We start from the raw sequence: 16,260 nt of genomic DNA on the forward strand, positions 1-16,260 counted from the left end.
AAGATATTATATATGGGAGATATGGGGATTTAAAAGACAATGCTTCATAACTAGATTGAATGTTTGGCTATAAAGACAGACCAGAATTATTGCAACTCAAGTGTGTTATTGGATCCAAGGAGATAATTATTGATTGACATATGGATCACAGTTGCGATATTTCAACTTGGCTTACAGGATAGTGACAATCTCTCTCTCTCTCTGTCGCTCACTCTTGCTCACTTTCGCTCTCACTCTCTGTCTTGTTCTTTCCCTCACTCAATCCCTTCTTTCCTCTCTCCTTCCCTACCTCCAAAAGCTGAATTGTAGTTTTTGAAGTATAATATGTAGCATTCCACAATTCATTGTTTCTTTATAATTCTTAATCTTCATTGCCAAGTCTTTAAATCTTGCTCACTGTGTTAAACTCTTTATTTATTTACAGTGACTATTTTCATGTAATTTATAATAATTGCCTGCATTGCACTTCCATTCTTTAGTTAAGAGTATTTTGGTGAAAAGAGAGCATTCATTAAATTATTCATTAGATTCCAAAGAGAGAAAAGACAGGATAGGGCTTTCATTGAACAAGTACTTTGAGGTCAGAGCAGGCCCAAGCCTGTCCTGGCTCACAATATGCTAAGCATTTACCACTTAAGTGTAAATGAGCTTAATTTATCAACTGAAAATGAAGGAAATACTTCCATATCATACAACACCTCACTGTTGAAAAATATCCTGGTGCCTAATAGGCAATTAATGTATCTTAGCTCCTTTTATTTCCTTCAAAATAGGCATTCAGTTTTAGATATAAATTTTTAAAATATTGTAATGTTTTTTACAGGCACATTAAAATGTCTTCTAAACCTCAAATTATTAAAAAAGTTTTCATGTTGCTAGCACTTAGTTCCTTCTAATTTCATTGATGCCATAAATGAAAAATTATTTGTCCCATTGCCCATATCACTATAGTATTTGCTAGTTATTTTAAATTTTATAATACAAATTTTAAAAATCTGTGAAATAAAAATCCTAACAATATATTATTTTGAAATGGCACAAACAATATCCTACCCTGTTTTAATCACTTAAGAAATATTTTCAGTTTCCTTAAATCAGCTTGCTTTGAAATATCTGACTTACTTTAAATAACACAAATGCAATCCAGCACACAAATTTTACTGTTGTCCCTGGAAACTGCAGAGCTAATTCCCTGTGCAGTTCACATAAAATATATCTCCTAGTGTCCAGTTTGGTTTTATCTGATGAAGCAAAGCAGAGAAAATAGAGTATGTAAGTATTAGCATTGCTTGTTTGCTGGCAAACAAAAGATTTTTAGCTAGCTGAATTATTTAGAAGTGTTTGGTGTGTGTGTGTGTGTGTGTGTGTGTGTGTGTGTACATAATTCCTCCTCATCCTTCTTTCATGAATACAAGAGAATACAAGCTAGAAAAAAATATTTACAATGCAGTCTGATTCTGGCATGAGAATACAGTTATTTCATTTGAAATTTTAGTGATACAATACCAAATCAACTGTGTTAAATGGTTTTGTATGACAGGACTAATAGTAACTATTTTTGTAAAGTGAAAAATCATTGTGCCCTTTTGCAGCAGAGATGAAAATTGCAGAGTGCTGCCAGCATTATTCCTTCTCTCCCTAACAAGCCGTACATAAATGCAGTAAATCGCAGATGTTGTTGATTCTGTTTGCCTTGCCTTACCTAGGAAAATCACAAAGACTTTACTTCTATTCTCATTGGAATCCAACAATTATCATCAAACAATATTAAGTGGTGAGATATCATTGTTTCACTTATTCAGATCAGTAGAGTCTTGGACCTATATGCCCCTATAATAAGTGCAAATTAATGCGTAGGATGTAATTTACGACCAAGTGTGGTCTCCTTTTCTTCCTGGCAGATTTTGACAGTCACAAACTATTTCTTAATACTGCCAGAATGTCTGGCTTCAATTCCTTTTTTGTGCCACCTGATCCATTCATTTACTCCACAGGTAACTAACTTTAAGTAACTAAATCTAAAAAAAAAAAAAATCAACTGAAGAGTGACATCAATGTGAATCATATCTAATATCCACAATGGCTACAGAATCAACTTTTCCTTTTACACATTGGAAGAGGTAAATAATTATAAAAGCCAAAGAAAATGTCTATTTTACTACAACATTTTGTAGACGAGGGTGTAAATTCGACTTTTTTTTTGTCTAAAATTCATCATCCCCTGCATCTCAGATTTGTGGCAAATGTCACTATATTTCAGTGTTACTTACTTAATCTATTGAACAACTAAACAGACTGAAGTGGTAACAAAAATAAATAAATATTTTTATAGTCAATAAAAATAGTTGGAATCTATAATATTTTTAGATAATGATGGGATTTAAGAGAACAGATTGAAATTAAACCTAGAGGAGGAAATTGGGGGTGTAAGAGTGTCTTAGTCAGCTCAGGCTGCAATAAGAAACAACCATAGCCTGGACACTTTAAACAACAGACATTTATTTCTCACTGTTCTGGAGGCTGGGAAGTCTAAGCAAGGTGCCCACAAACTTGATTCTTCGCTTCTTTGAGTTTGACTATTTTAGATACCTCATAGAAGTGGAATCATGAAGTGTTTTTCCTTCTGTGATGGGCTTATTTCTCTTAAAATGATGTCCTTAAGCTTCATCCATATTGTTATGTATTGCAGGATTTTTTATTTTATTATGGCTGAATAATATTGCCTTGTATGTATATACCAGATTTTAAAAAATGCATTCTTTTATATGTGAATATTTGGGTTATTTTCACATCTTGACTATTGTGAATAGGGTTGCAATTAATATGAAAGTACTAATATCTTTCTAAGACCTTAATTTCAGTCCTTTGGAATAAATACCTGGAAGTGATGTTACTGGATCATATGGGAGATCTATTTGTAGTTTTCTGAGGAAACTCCATCATGTTTAGTGGGTGCACCATTTTGCATTCCCAACAGTATACAAGAGTTGCAGTTTCTCCACATCCTCACCAACATGTGTCTTCTACTTTTGAAAAAAAAATAATAGCCATCATAACAGGTGTGAGATGATATTTCATTGTGGTTTTATGTTTCTGTAATGATTAGTGATATTAAGCTTCTTTTCACATGAAAATGGCCTCTTGGCCATTTGTATGTCTTCTTTAGAATTACATATTCTGGTGTGATAAGATTTTCTTCAAAATGGTAAAAAAATTGCAGCAGATGGAATGCAGAAGCAGATATGAGATTCCATTTGTCTTTTATTAAGCCAGATGTTAAAATGATTTGCAAACATGTAAAATAATGTCGTTCTTTCACTCAGCATATTGTTTTGGAAAACATAGTTAGTTTTACAAATATCTGCTCTTTATCTTATGAGTTAAAGAGCATATATAGTAATGAGTTTATGGATGCTATTTTAAAATTACTACCAGATAAACTCACATAAGGAAAAGCTTTATAGAGTTCTGAATAATATGTAAGAGTGTAAAGGAGTCCTGAGATAGCAATGGCTAAGCCCTGCTGCTTTAGAATGTTTTTCGTCACAAAATCCAACTATAACTCACTTAAACAAGAAAGAAATGTATTGGCCACTGTAACCCAGAAGTCAGAGGTACTTCAAGTGTTGTTTATACAGAATTCTTTTTTTTATATATATACTTAAATTCTGGATACCTGTGTGTGCAGAACGTGCAGGTTAGATTTGTTACATAGGTAAATATGTGCCATGGTGTTTTACTGAACCCATCAACCCGTCATCTACATTAGGTATTTCTCCTAATGCTATCCCTACCCTAGCCCCCCACCCACCGACAGGCCCTGGTGTGTGATGTTCCCATCCCTGTGTCCATGTGTTCTCATTGTTCAACTCTCACTTATGAGTGAAAACATGCGGTGTTTGGTGTTCTGTTCCTGTGTTAGTTTGCTGAGAATGATGGTTTCCAGTTTCTTCCATGTCTCTGCGAAGGACATGAACTCATCCTTCTTATGGCTGCATAGTATTCCATGGTGTATATGTGCTACATTTTCTTTATCCAGTCTATCACTGTGGAGAATTCTGTTCCCTGTAATTTCCTCAGCTCTTTGCCTCTATACGTTGGTTATGTCCTCAGACTCTTTCTTTTCTCCTGACCTCAAAATTGCTGAAGCAGTTCAAGCGCTCATAGTATAGAAAAGTTTGTGTTCCACAGTTTCCACTAATTTCTCTGAAATTCACTGTGATTGGATAGGTGTAAGTCACATGCCTTCCCTTTGTCAATCCTGTGATCATGGGTGTAACATATGTTGACAGGATTTTCTGTTTCTGTTTAAATGTTTAGTTGCATATTCCTAACCAGGAGGCAAAAGTAAAGTTTCCCTAAAACTACAGGAATCTTCTGTGGGAAAGACAGAAATGATGCTAGGAAAGCAGCGAAGAAATCTATTGTGCTGCATTAATGAGTTTATACTAAATGGAGTAATAGAGTTTTAGATTTATAAGCAGAAATGTCATCAGTTAATTTATTATTTTTCTCAATTTATTTAGGCCACTATATAGAGAATGGAAATTTGGGAACAAGAATGAAAGCAGAGAGGTCAGTGAAGAAGCTGTTGCTATAATCCAGAGTGTAGGCAATGGTATCTTGATTTGGGGATTGTCAATAGTGATGTAGTCAAAAGGATTAATTCTATGTTTGGAGATTTTACTAACGAACGCATGGATCCTTTGGATATCAGGATGAGGAAAAGAGCAAAATAATGTTTAGGTTTTGAGTTTAAGTTAAAGTGAGCACTGGATGATGTCATGTCCAGAAATGAGTGAGAATCGGGAAACAAGGTATTGGGGAGAACAAACATTCTTTTTTTAGGCAAGTTCAGATTTAGATGCTATTTTAGTGGTGACATCAAATAGCTATCTGGCTACATGAGTTAATTTTTAACCTTGCCATCAATATGTCTTACTGAAGTTCATAGTATACAAATAAAATTGACAATCGAATGTCATATTGACAAAATAGAATAAGCATACCTAATGGCCAGTTGACATTTTATCTGCTATTTCTTGTTTTCAAAGTCTTTTAAAGATCTTTATCTTGATATGAAAATTTATTTTCTCAAGGCTTCTAGTCTACGTGTTTCACACAAGTATTCACTAAACATGTCGTGAGCATCTATTATGTGCCATGCATCTCTCATTAATTAATATCTAATTTTGGAACATATAGATCATTAGTATTTATTCCTGGAAAAATGTGCATATTTCTTTGAAGTAAGTTAAGAAATACAATAGTAAAAATAATAAAAGTACTTATTATTTTATTTATTATATCATAACTACACTTGTTTGCCTAACACTGGTCAGACACTGGGCCAAGAGCTGAGTAGACAGTAAGGAATAAATAAATCTTATAGTGTGGTATGTCATGAATAGTGACTTACAACTTTAAATCTAAGGTCAAGTAGATATTTAGAAGATATGTGATGCAAGAAAGAATAAGAGGTAGATGTGAAAACACTGTTCTTTAGTGTCAACTAAAACTTTTTAGAGTCAACTAAAATTGGTGTAGTCTGTTTATATATAATGTCAATGCATCTAACTCCACGATGATGCCATCTAACTCAGGGATTCTCAGCCTCAGTATCATAGACATTTTGGAATAAATATGCCTTTGTCGTGGGAGTCTGTCAGGTGTGTTCTAGGATGTTTAGCAGCATTGCTGGCCTCTACCCACTAGATGTTAGTAGCAATTTCCCATTTGTTGCAACCCGAAATGTCTCTGTCAATTATTAAATGCCTTGCCTTGTGGGGTAACTCCTGCCCTAATCCACCCTTCTTGTCGAGATCACTTCTAAATTTCTAGTAATGACCTTCTAGGTAATTCTACATATATCTCCTAACATTTTCTCTAAAGAAAAAAAAATATAAATCAAATTGTTAAGATTCTTTCTGATATCACAAGACTCAGAAGATAACTTGACAATTATTATTGTCATCAGAATTATCTAAGGACGAATTCTTAAAGCCTGGAAATCTTTACAATTTACATAATATTTTCAGAAGGATTTGGAGACACAGTTAGTAAAATGGGTGATTCCTGGATCCTAGTTTTGTGTTCTTTCTACTAGACCTGTGATTTAATGCTTGCCTATTTCTGATGATGGTGCTATGAATTGCTTAGTCTCTAAGAGTTAAAATGTCTCATTGGATTTATTTTTACTTTCCTCTATTTTTTAAAGCCTGTTCACACCTTTACCACCTGCCATCAAATTAGTCACAAAACCTTATAAGTGATTCTAAAAATTCTTTAGAGCACTGGTCATTCTAAAATTTTAATTTCCATTCCTTTTAACAACTCTTTCCCCTACTCTTGCCAAAATTTTAGATTTAGATCCACTGGTTACTTCATGTTGGTACATGTATATTAGGTTCTAAATTGTTCTGTCTTTTCTCCCTATTCCTCAAAATATGTAGTACAACCACCAGTAGATGAATCCTAAAACACAACTGCAATCATAACCCTCCTCTATTCCTAAATGTTAAATGATTTCTCCAATTCTACAGAATACATTTTTGGTTATATCTTACACTCTTTAAATACAATTGTTTTTCAGTTTTAAGAACCTCCATAATCTATTTCCAGGAAAGTCATTCCTTATCTTCAAGACTTTTATTCCTAAGCAAATCACCAGTTATCATAAAGACTTTTATTCTACGAGAATTGTCCTACCAACCCTACAAAGACTTGAAGACTCTGTCATAAAGATTTTTCTACATTGTTCTTGTGGCAGAATAGCTAATTTCCTTTCTCTATCTAAACCCTATTCTTGTTTCAAGCAACAAAATATTTCTTAGTTATGCAGCTAGCCTATTCCAGCCCACAATGTCTCTCTCTTCTGAGGCATCAACATGTATATTTTTACTTGTTATTTTCAATTAACAATATACTATTATACAATATATCTTGCAATTATTTTCTTAAGTCAGCTTCTGTCAGAGGGATTTGTGCACCAACGGAAGAAGTCAAGCAAAGGCATTACTGAGTTGAAAACCCAGATTCACTTGAATCCTCTATGAAGGTCTGTCACAGGAGAGTTTATCCCGTCTCATGGCATGGATTTCCATACCACTTACCAGTGATTTATTTATCCTTTAGTAACACTTGACCACTCTGGGCATGGGGTGAGGTGAGGGCAGGATATAACTCCCAGAAACTTCTGGCCCTAGGCTCCTTTGGATGGTGTATCTTTAGCAGCACAATGGTAACCTTCCAAAGATGGTAGAGGCCAAGTGATAGAAACAAGCTCAAAAAAGCTGAAGGACAGGCACACAGATTGTAAGAGGGATCAGAGAGAATCTGAACAAATCAACAACAGTGTTTATTGTAAATATGGCCTTATAATAATTGCCATACTCTTAACCAATTTTTTGCATTTATTCTGTTTCTTTTTTAATAAATTGAAGGTTTTTGGACATCAGGGTTGGTTTACATTCCATGCATTTTGGTATCTGCTCAGCAGTAAGCATTAGACATAGTTATTGCTTGGTGAACATTTGTTAACTCATATTTAAAATTAATTAACACATATCTTTTACATGAGTTCATGCTTAGGTTATAGGTTAGGCTGTATGATGTTTAAATTATTACAGTGTTGCATAAAATGGGGAACACTTATTTGCCCATTTGGGTTTCATTTTCTCACTTTTTAAGCAGAAGCCTGGGGCTTCTGTAGGAAAATAATTAGCAAGATTTTCAAGTTACCATACCATATGATTTTTTTCCTTTATGTGTATTTCTTAATACTGATATTCTGTCTCTGCCAGCCAGTGTGTTTGCCACAAGTCATTGGCAAATTAAAATGCCAGTTCTTTTTCCGGGTATTTCAATTATAGCTTCTTCTAGGCATTCCCATGGTGAAGACTAAACTTATGCACATTGGTTTAATTTTTGTACATGTAAACTTGTGACACTGTAAACTTTTTATTGAATAATTAAATTTTTTTCTTCTGGTCTTTACCACAATAACTATAGCTGTAGTGAATTAGATGTTTAGCCAAATAAACACACCAGAAAACCATGTGTCAGTCAATATGCTGTTTTTTACTGCAAGTCCATCTTTATCAAAACATGATTAATTTATGTCTAAATTACCTTCTTGAAGAGAGAATATTCCGATAAACACAAATAAGTTATCTAGAAGGTTAAATTTTTGAAAGGTGATTCTTGTTCATCTAATGACACTGCCAAGCATATAATATTGTTAATCAAATTTGTTTCCTTAAGGTGCAATCATGTAAATTATGAGATGTTTTCAGCGTTAAGATTGAATATGTTATTTTACAACTCACTGGAAATCATCTACTTATTAGAATAACCTTAAGACTTATTTTTAAAAAGCAAAACATCAATTTCATATAAAATCTATACAATCTGCAATATTTCATTATATATAAAGAGTGTTGCATTTATATTTATCTCTCTTTATTAGGGATTCCTTTGAACCATTAGAACTGCGTGATAACAAGTATGTTAAACTTTTCAGTGTCAGCTATAGGCCCATCATGGTAGTTTGCATTATTTCTGAGTATAATCATTATATGTGTGTGTGCGTATATATATGTGTGTGTGTGTGTATATATATATAAAATATATGCATATTATATGCATATATACTCAGCTGTTTTTGAAAATTCATATTGAAGAAGTTATTATTTAAAACTTTATGAGGTACTGAAAGAGAAATACAGAGGACCAACTAGGTTGAAAATCAAGTTTTATAGAGATAAATTGATTTGGGGTTATATTTGAGAGAAAAATAAAGACATTGCATAAGTGTTGCCAGAAATCTCCAGACACTCCACTGAATACGGGTAAATTCTAGTATGCCATGCACAGTCATAATCAGTGGTGATCTCATTTATTCTCCAAGAGTTTTTCATTATGTTTCTTCCCAAACCCTAGGCTCAGTGGTATATATTTCTTTACTTGTCTTATTTCTTTATTCCCTTTTCTCTCCTTTCAGCCTCCTTTTCTGTTTTGAGTAAAATCTACTTCTTTCATCACACTCTCTAACCTTCACTGCCCTTAAAATATAATACAGAAGAGGGAAAAAAATCACTCTATAGGCAGTCAACCAAACTGGAGCCTGGAGAATTGATCCCATCATTCATTGGCCTTATTTCTTGAACTGCAAAATGAGGAAAATAATACCCACTATGTTTAACTCATGATGATTTGTAATTTTTAAGTGAGATTATATATATGAAAGCAATTTGAAAAGAGCAAAGCTTTATTAGATTGAGCCGACTCAAATATACCTTCTTCAGGAATTAATGTGTGCCCACATCTGAAAAGAATCTGTTTTCCTCCTCTGGGCTACAAAAGCCTTTAATTTATATCTAAGTTATGGGAGTTATTATATAGGATTCAAATAATCTCTTGCATTAGATGGGAAGCCCTTTGAAGTTATTATCTTTTTTTTTTTTTTTTTTTGAGGCAGGGTCTTGCTCTGTTGCCCAGGCTGGAGTGCAGTGGTGGGATCTCTGTTCACCGCAACCTCCACCTTCCAGGTTAAAACGATTCTCATGCCTCAGCCTCCTAAGTAGTTGGAATCACAGATGTGCACCATCATGCCTGGCTAATTTTTGTATTTTTAGTAGAGATGGGGTTTTGCCGTGTTTCCCAGGCTACCAAACCCCTGGCCTCAAGTGATCTGCCTGCCTCAGCTTCCCAAAGGGCTAGGATTACAGGCCTGAGCCACTGTGTGCAGTCGGCATTATCTATTTTACTTTTGAACTCTCAACATTACCCAGTGCGTAACTTTCACTAGAAAAAGTTAATTGAACAGGAAAATTTTGCCTGCATTGCTCACTCTTCCCGAAAGCACAAACTAGTGTATATTTTTCCATTTGTCATTTTTTAAATATCGGTTTAAAAGTCAACTCTGTTGAACTTCATTGGAGTCCTGTGATCCCAGAAAACAGCGATGACTTAAGAAATGCCTCTGCCTCTTATGTTCCCCATATGATTTAGGTAAGACTTAAAGATGCTCTTCTGTGTACCAATGACAAAACCAGACACATATCCTCTAAAATCCTCTTCTTTGCATACTATATGATCACCTGAACTTGTTTTTAAGCCTCTCAAAGCACTTCAGTTTGTTGAATCAACTATATTGTTGATTGAAAGTTTCCCAAAGGGGTTTTTGAAAATACAAAATGTATCTACCTGCTTCTTTTAAAAATGATCTTTGCAAAAAGGAGAACAAGAAACACAATTGCAAATGAGATGTGTTATAATTTCAAAATTTGTACTCCACCCAAGTTTAAAATGGAAATCATACAAACAAACAGTAAATGATTCAGCAAAGTAAAGGAAAGTCAGAACTAAATTCTTACAGAGGGGGATCAAACCAGTTGCTGATTCATTTCAAAACCATACAAAATAAAAGAGTGAACATAATGAACCCTGGAATATAAAGCTGGGGAGAAGGGATGAAAACAGGTGGATTATTGCAAAAGTGTTTTCTTTAATATATGATACTTAATTTATTAATCAAATAATAATTTTAATTATTTATTTTATTTTTCAACTTTTATTTTAGATTCAGAGGGTACATGTACAGGTTTGTTACCTGAGTATATTGTGTGATGCTGAGTCTGGGGTAGGAATAATATTGTCATACAGAGATTGAGCACAGTATCTAATAGTTTTTCAACTCTTCTCCACTTCCTCCCCCCAACAGTAGTCCCAAGTTTCTAGTGTTTTGAGCTTTATGTCCAGGAGTACACGATGTATAGCTTCCACTTATAAGTGAAGTTGGTTATTGGTTCCAGGTTATTGGTTCCAGGAATGTTTTGGCCCAGTCTTTAGGGTTTTCTAAGCATGGAATCATATTGTCAGTGAAAAAAGATAGTTTGATGTAAAAGTCAAATTTTCCTATTTGGATGACTTTTATTTCTTTCTTTTGCCTGATTGATCAGACTAGGACTTCCAGGACTATGTTGGATAAAAGTGGTGAGAATGAGTATCTTTGTCTTGTTCCAGTTCTCAAGGGGAATGCTTCCAGTTTTTGCACATTCAGTATGATGTTGGCTGTGGGTATGTCATAGATGGCTCTTATTATTTTGAGGTATATTCCTTTGATGGTAGTTTGCTGAGGGTTATCAGAAAGGAATGTTGAATTTTTTGGAAAGGCTTTTCTGCATCTATTGAGATGATCATATGGTTTTTGTTTTTAATTCTGTTTATGTGGTGAATCACATTTATTGATTTGCATATGTTGAACCAATCTAGCATTCCAAGAGTGAAGCCTACTTATCATGTTGTTAATTTTGAATTAATTTTGATTTGCTGTTGGACTCAATTTGCTAGTGTTTTTTTTTTTTTTTTGAGATTTTTCACGTCTGTGTTCATCAGGGATATTGGCCTTTAGTTTTCTTTTATTACTGTATTTTTTCAGGTTGTGGTATCAAGGTAATGCTGGTTTCATAGAAGAGTAAAAGAGGAATCCCTTCTAGATTTTTTGGAATAGTTTCAAAGGAAATGAAAGAAAGTCTTCATTGTCTAATAGAATTTGGCTGTGAATCTATCTTGCCTGGGGCTTTTTTTGTTGGTAGGTTTTTTATTACCGATTCAGTTTTGGAACTTGATATTGGTCTGTTCATGGTTTCAAATACTTCCTGATTCAATCTTGGGAGATTGTGTGTTTCCAGGAATTTATTCATTATCTTTAGATTTTCTAGTTTGTATGCATAAAAGTGTTCATAAAAGTCTCAGAGGATCTTTTGTATTTCTGTTGGGTTACTGGTAATGTCACCCTTTTTGGTTTCTGATTCTGCCTATTTGGACCTTCTTTCTCTCTCTTTTTTTTTCCTTTCTTAATCCAGATATATGGAGTTCTACCAACTATCAATCTTATTTATCATTTTAAAAATCAATTTTTGATTTTGTTGCTTTTTGTATGGATTTTTGGATATCAATTTTCTTTAGATCTTCTCTGATTTTAGTTATTTCTTTCCTTCTTGGGGTTAGTTTGTTTTTGCTTCGCTAGTTCCTTTAGATGTGAAGTTAGGTTGTTATCTTGAAATCCTTCAATTTTTTTTTTTTTTTTTTCTGAGACAGGGTCTCACCCTGTCATCCAGCCTCCAGTGGCATAACAGCTTGCTGAAGCTTCAAACTCCTGGCCTCAAGTTATCCTCCTACTTGTTCTTCCTGAGTATCTGGGACCATGGACATAAGCCACCATGACTGCCTAGCATTTATTTATTTATTTACTTACTTACTTATTTTTAGAGATTGGGGTCTCACTATATTGCCCAGGATAATCTCAAACTCCTGGGCTCAAGCAGTCCACCTGCCTTTACTCCCAAAGTGCTAAGATTATAGATAGGCATGAGCCATGACACCTGGCCATTCCAGCTTTTTGAAATAGACATTTAGTGCTATAAAATTTCTTCTTACAACTGCTTTTGCTGCATCCCAGAGATTTTTGGTGTGTTGTGTCTCTGCTTCCAATTATTTCAAATAATTTTAAATTTCTGCCTTAATTATACTGTTCACCCAAAGGTCATTCAGGAAGAAGTTTTTAAATTCCCATTTAACTGTGTTTTTCAGAAATTTTCTGGGTATTTATTTGTATTTTCATTCTGCTGTGTTCCAAGAGTATGGTTGGCATGATTATACTTTTTGATTTTGAGACATGCTTTATGGCTGAGCATGTACTTGATCTTGGAATATGTTCCATGTGCATATGAGAAGAATGTATATTCTGTGGTTGATGGGTGGAGTATTCTGTTGATGTCAATTATGTCAAATAGGTTGAGTGTCAAATTTAAATCCAGAATTTCTTTGTTAGTTTTCTACCTTTATGATCTGTCTAATGCTGTCAGTGGGGTGTTGAACTCCCCAACAATTACTGTGTAGCTAAGTCTTTGTGTACATCTAGAGGTACTCCTTTCATAAATCTGGGTGCTCTAGTACAGATGCATACATATTTAAGATAGTTAAGTCATCTTGTTGACTTGAACCCTTTATCAATATGCAATGTCTTTCTTTGCCAGTTTTCACTGTTTTTGGTAAAGTCTGTTTTATCTGATATTTGAATAACAACACCTGCTCTTTTGTGTTTTTTATTTGCATGGTAGATCTTTCTCTAACCCTTTAATTTGAGCTTATGGGTGTCATTATGTGTGAGATGGGGCTGTTGAAGACAGCAAACAGATGAGTCATGTTTTTATCCAACCTAAAAGACACTCCGTGCCTTTTAAGTGGAGCATTTAGACAGTTTATAATGAAGGTTAATATTGTTATTTGAGATTTTGATGCTTTCATGAAGTTGTTAGTTGAATGCTGTTTAGTTTCTATTTTGTGGTTGCTTTATAGGGTCTGTGGGCTATGTACTTCAGTTTGTGTATTTTGTAGCACAAGTCATTCTTTTGTTTCCATGTTTAGAACTTTCTTAAGGATCACTTATAAGACAGGTCTAGTGGTAACAAATTCCTTTACTGCATGCTTTTCTGGAAATGATTTTATTTCTCTTTTGCTGATAAAGCTTAGTTTCGTGGGATATGAAATTTACTGTGGGAATTTCTTTTCTTTAAGAATGTTGGCAATAGGCCCCCAGTCTCTCCTAACTTGTGAAGTTTCTGCTGAGAAGTTCACTGTAAGCCTGATTGGGTTCCCTGTATACGTGATCTGACTTTTTCTCAAGCTACCTTTACGATTTTTTTTAGAGTTGACCTTGAACAGCCTGGTGACTATACGTCTTGATGATGTTAATTTTCTATAAGTATCTCGGGTGTTTTCTGCATTTCTTGTATCTGGATGTCTACTTCTCTAGAAGATTACAGAAGTTTACTTCAATTATTCCCTCAAATATGTTTTCCAGGTTAATTTTTTTTTCTTTCTCAGTACTGGCAATATTGAATAGATTTGGTTGTTTTATATAATCCTAGGTTTCTTGAAGACTGTTCATTTTTAAAATTATTATTTTTTATTTTTGTTTGACTTAGTTACCTCAAAATCCCATTTTTCCAGCCCTGATATTAGTTCTTCTGCTTGGTGCAGTCTGTTGAAAAACATTTACTTATATTTTGAAATTTCTTTTTTTTTTTTTTCCTTTTTTTTTTTATTATACTTTAAGTTTTAGGGTACATGTGCACATTGTGCAGGTTAGTTACATATGTATACATGTGCCATGCTGGTGCGCTGCACCCACTAACTCGTCATCTAGCATTAGGTATATCTCCCAATGCTATCCCTCCCCCCTCCCCCCACCCCACCACAGTCCCCAGAGTGTGATATTCCCCTTCCTGTGTCCATGTGATCTCATTGTTCAGTTCAATATATTTTGAAATTTCTTAAGTAGGTTTTTTAATTTCAGAAGCTCTGATTGGTTTCATTTTAAGATGTTGATCTATTCCTTCATCTCCTGGATTGCTTTAGAAGTTTCATTGTGTTTGCACTCTACTTTTCTTGGATTTCATTGAGCTTCCTTGCTTTGAACTATTTATCCATCATTTCTGGGTTTCCATTTTGGTTAGGCACCATAGCTGGAGAGCTAGTGTGATATCTTGATGTATCATTACATTGTGATTTTTTTTTTTTTTATCATTCCAGAATGCTTTTACTGGTTCTTTGTCATCTGGAGACACTGACACTTCTAAGTTCTATAATTAGTTTTAAAGAGGTATGATTTTTTTTTCTTTTTCTTTTCCTATATTATTTCTCCCCCCTTTCCCTTTCCTCCCTTCCTAGGGAATGCAACTGTAGAGAATGCATGGCAAGGTCTTATGGTTTTGCTTTAATAGCCCTATGCATTTCTTTATTTCATTGGGTTTTACACAGGGCTCTGCAGTTCAACCTACAAGCCTGTATATGGTGCTTATAGGCAAGAGCCTGCTGTGGCCAACATGGCTAGGTATATACTTGATCCTTGTTTACTTGCAGAAGCTCTCTGTTGCCTCACAAATTGACTAATTGATGGAATGTAAAGTGGTCTGAGCTCCCTACTTAGCCCCAGAGAACTGGGGGCCATGATAGGCAATACTGGACCAGAAAAATGCAACTACAGGTCCCCTGATAGCAAGCACAGGCACCAGCACTGAGAGGGAATCCCATTGGATGGCACCAAGTGCCCAGATGTGCTCCTGAGTACCTGGAAAAAATCCCTGGCCCCAAGTTCTTTGCATGGGGATGGGGAATGGCCTAAACTCCTAACCCAGGAGAGTAGGTGCTCCAGACAGCTGGAGGTCTGCCTGGATGTGGAGTGGAATGGATGCCCCTGCATCAAGATCTCTGCAGTAGAGGAATGGGGGGACTCAGTTTGCTTAACCAGAAAGTAGGAGCTCTGAATGCTTAGAGATCTGCCTGGTCATGCAGCAGTGAGGGCCTTGATAAGGTTTGGCTGTGTCCCCGCCCAAATCTCATCTTGAATTGCAACTCCCACAATTCCCAAATGTCATGGGAAGAACCTGGTGGCAGATGATTAAATTATGAGGGCAGGTCTTTCCTGTGCTGTTCTTGTGATAGTGAATGAGTCTCATGAGATCTGATGCTTTTAAAAATGGGAGTTTCCCTGCACAAACTCTCTCTTGCCACTGCCATGTAAGAAGTGCCTTTTGCCTTCTGCCATGATTTTGAGGCCTCCCTAGACACGTGGAACTGCAAGCTTATTAAACCTCTTTATTTTGTAAATTTCCCAGTCTTGGGTATGTCTTTATGAGCAGCATGAAAATGGACTAATATGGTAAATTGGTACTGGGAGTTGGGCGCTGCTGGAAAGATATCCAAAAATGTCAAAGTGACTTTGGAACTGGGTAACAGGTGAGGTTTGAACAGTTTGGGGGGCTCAGAAGAAGAAAAGTAAATGTGAGAAAGTTTGGAACTCCCTAGAGACTTGTTAAATGGCTTTGTCCAAAATGCTGATAATGATATGGACAATAAAATCCAGGCTGAAGTGGTCGCAGATGGAAATGAGGAAATTATTGGAAACTGGAGAAAAGGTGACTTTTGTTACGTTTTAGCAAAGACTGGTGTCATTTTGCCCCTCCCCTAGAGATCTGTGGAACTTTGAACTTGAGAGAGACGATTTAGGGCATCTGGCAGAAGAAATTTCTAAGTGTCAAAGCATTCAAGAGGTACTTGGGTGCTGTTAAAGGCATTCAGTTTTATAAGGGAAGCAGAGCATAAAAGTTCAGATAATTTGCAGCCTGACAATGCGATAGAAAAGAAAATCCCATTTTCTGAAGAGATATTCAAACTGGCTGCAGAAATTTGCAT

At 35.1% G+C, this 16,260-nt stretch overlaps 1 long non-coding RNA gene across 1 annotated transcript in view; it reads left to right on the forward strand.

The window, feature by feature from the left end:
* The first annotated feature begins 1,226 nt into the window (after positions 1-1,226).
* LINC00333 (long intergenic non-protein coding RNA 333) overlaps positions 1,227-16,260 on the forward strand; it is a 466,167-nt gene continuing 451,133 nt past the window's right edge. Inside the window, exon 1 of the long non-coding RNA NR_046871.1 lies at positions 1,227-1,268. This is a non-coding gene — a long non-coding RNA (long intergenic non-protein coding RNA 333). The remainder of the gene's footprint in view (positions 1,269-16,260) is intronic.

The sequence above is a fragment of the Homo sapiens genome, chromosome 13 (assembly GCF_000001405.40).
Source record: "Homo sapiens chromosome 13, GRCh38.p14 Primary Assembly".
Classification (NCBI taxonomy): Eukaryota; Metazoa; Chordata; class Mammalia; order Primates; family Hominidae; genus Homo; species Homo sapiens.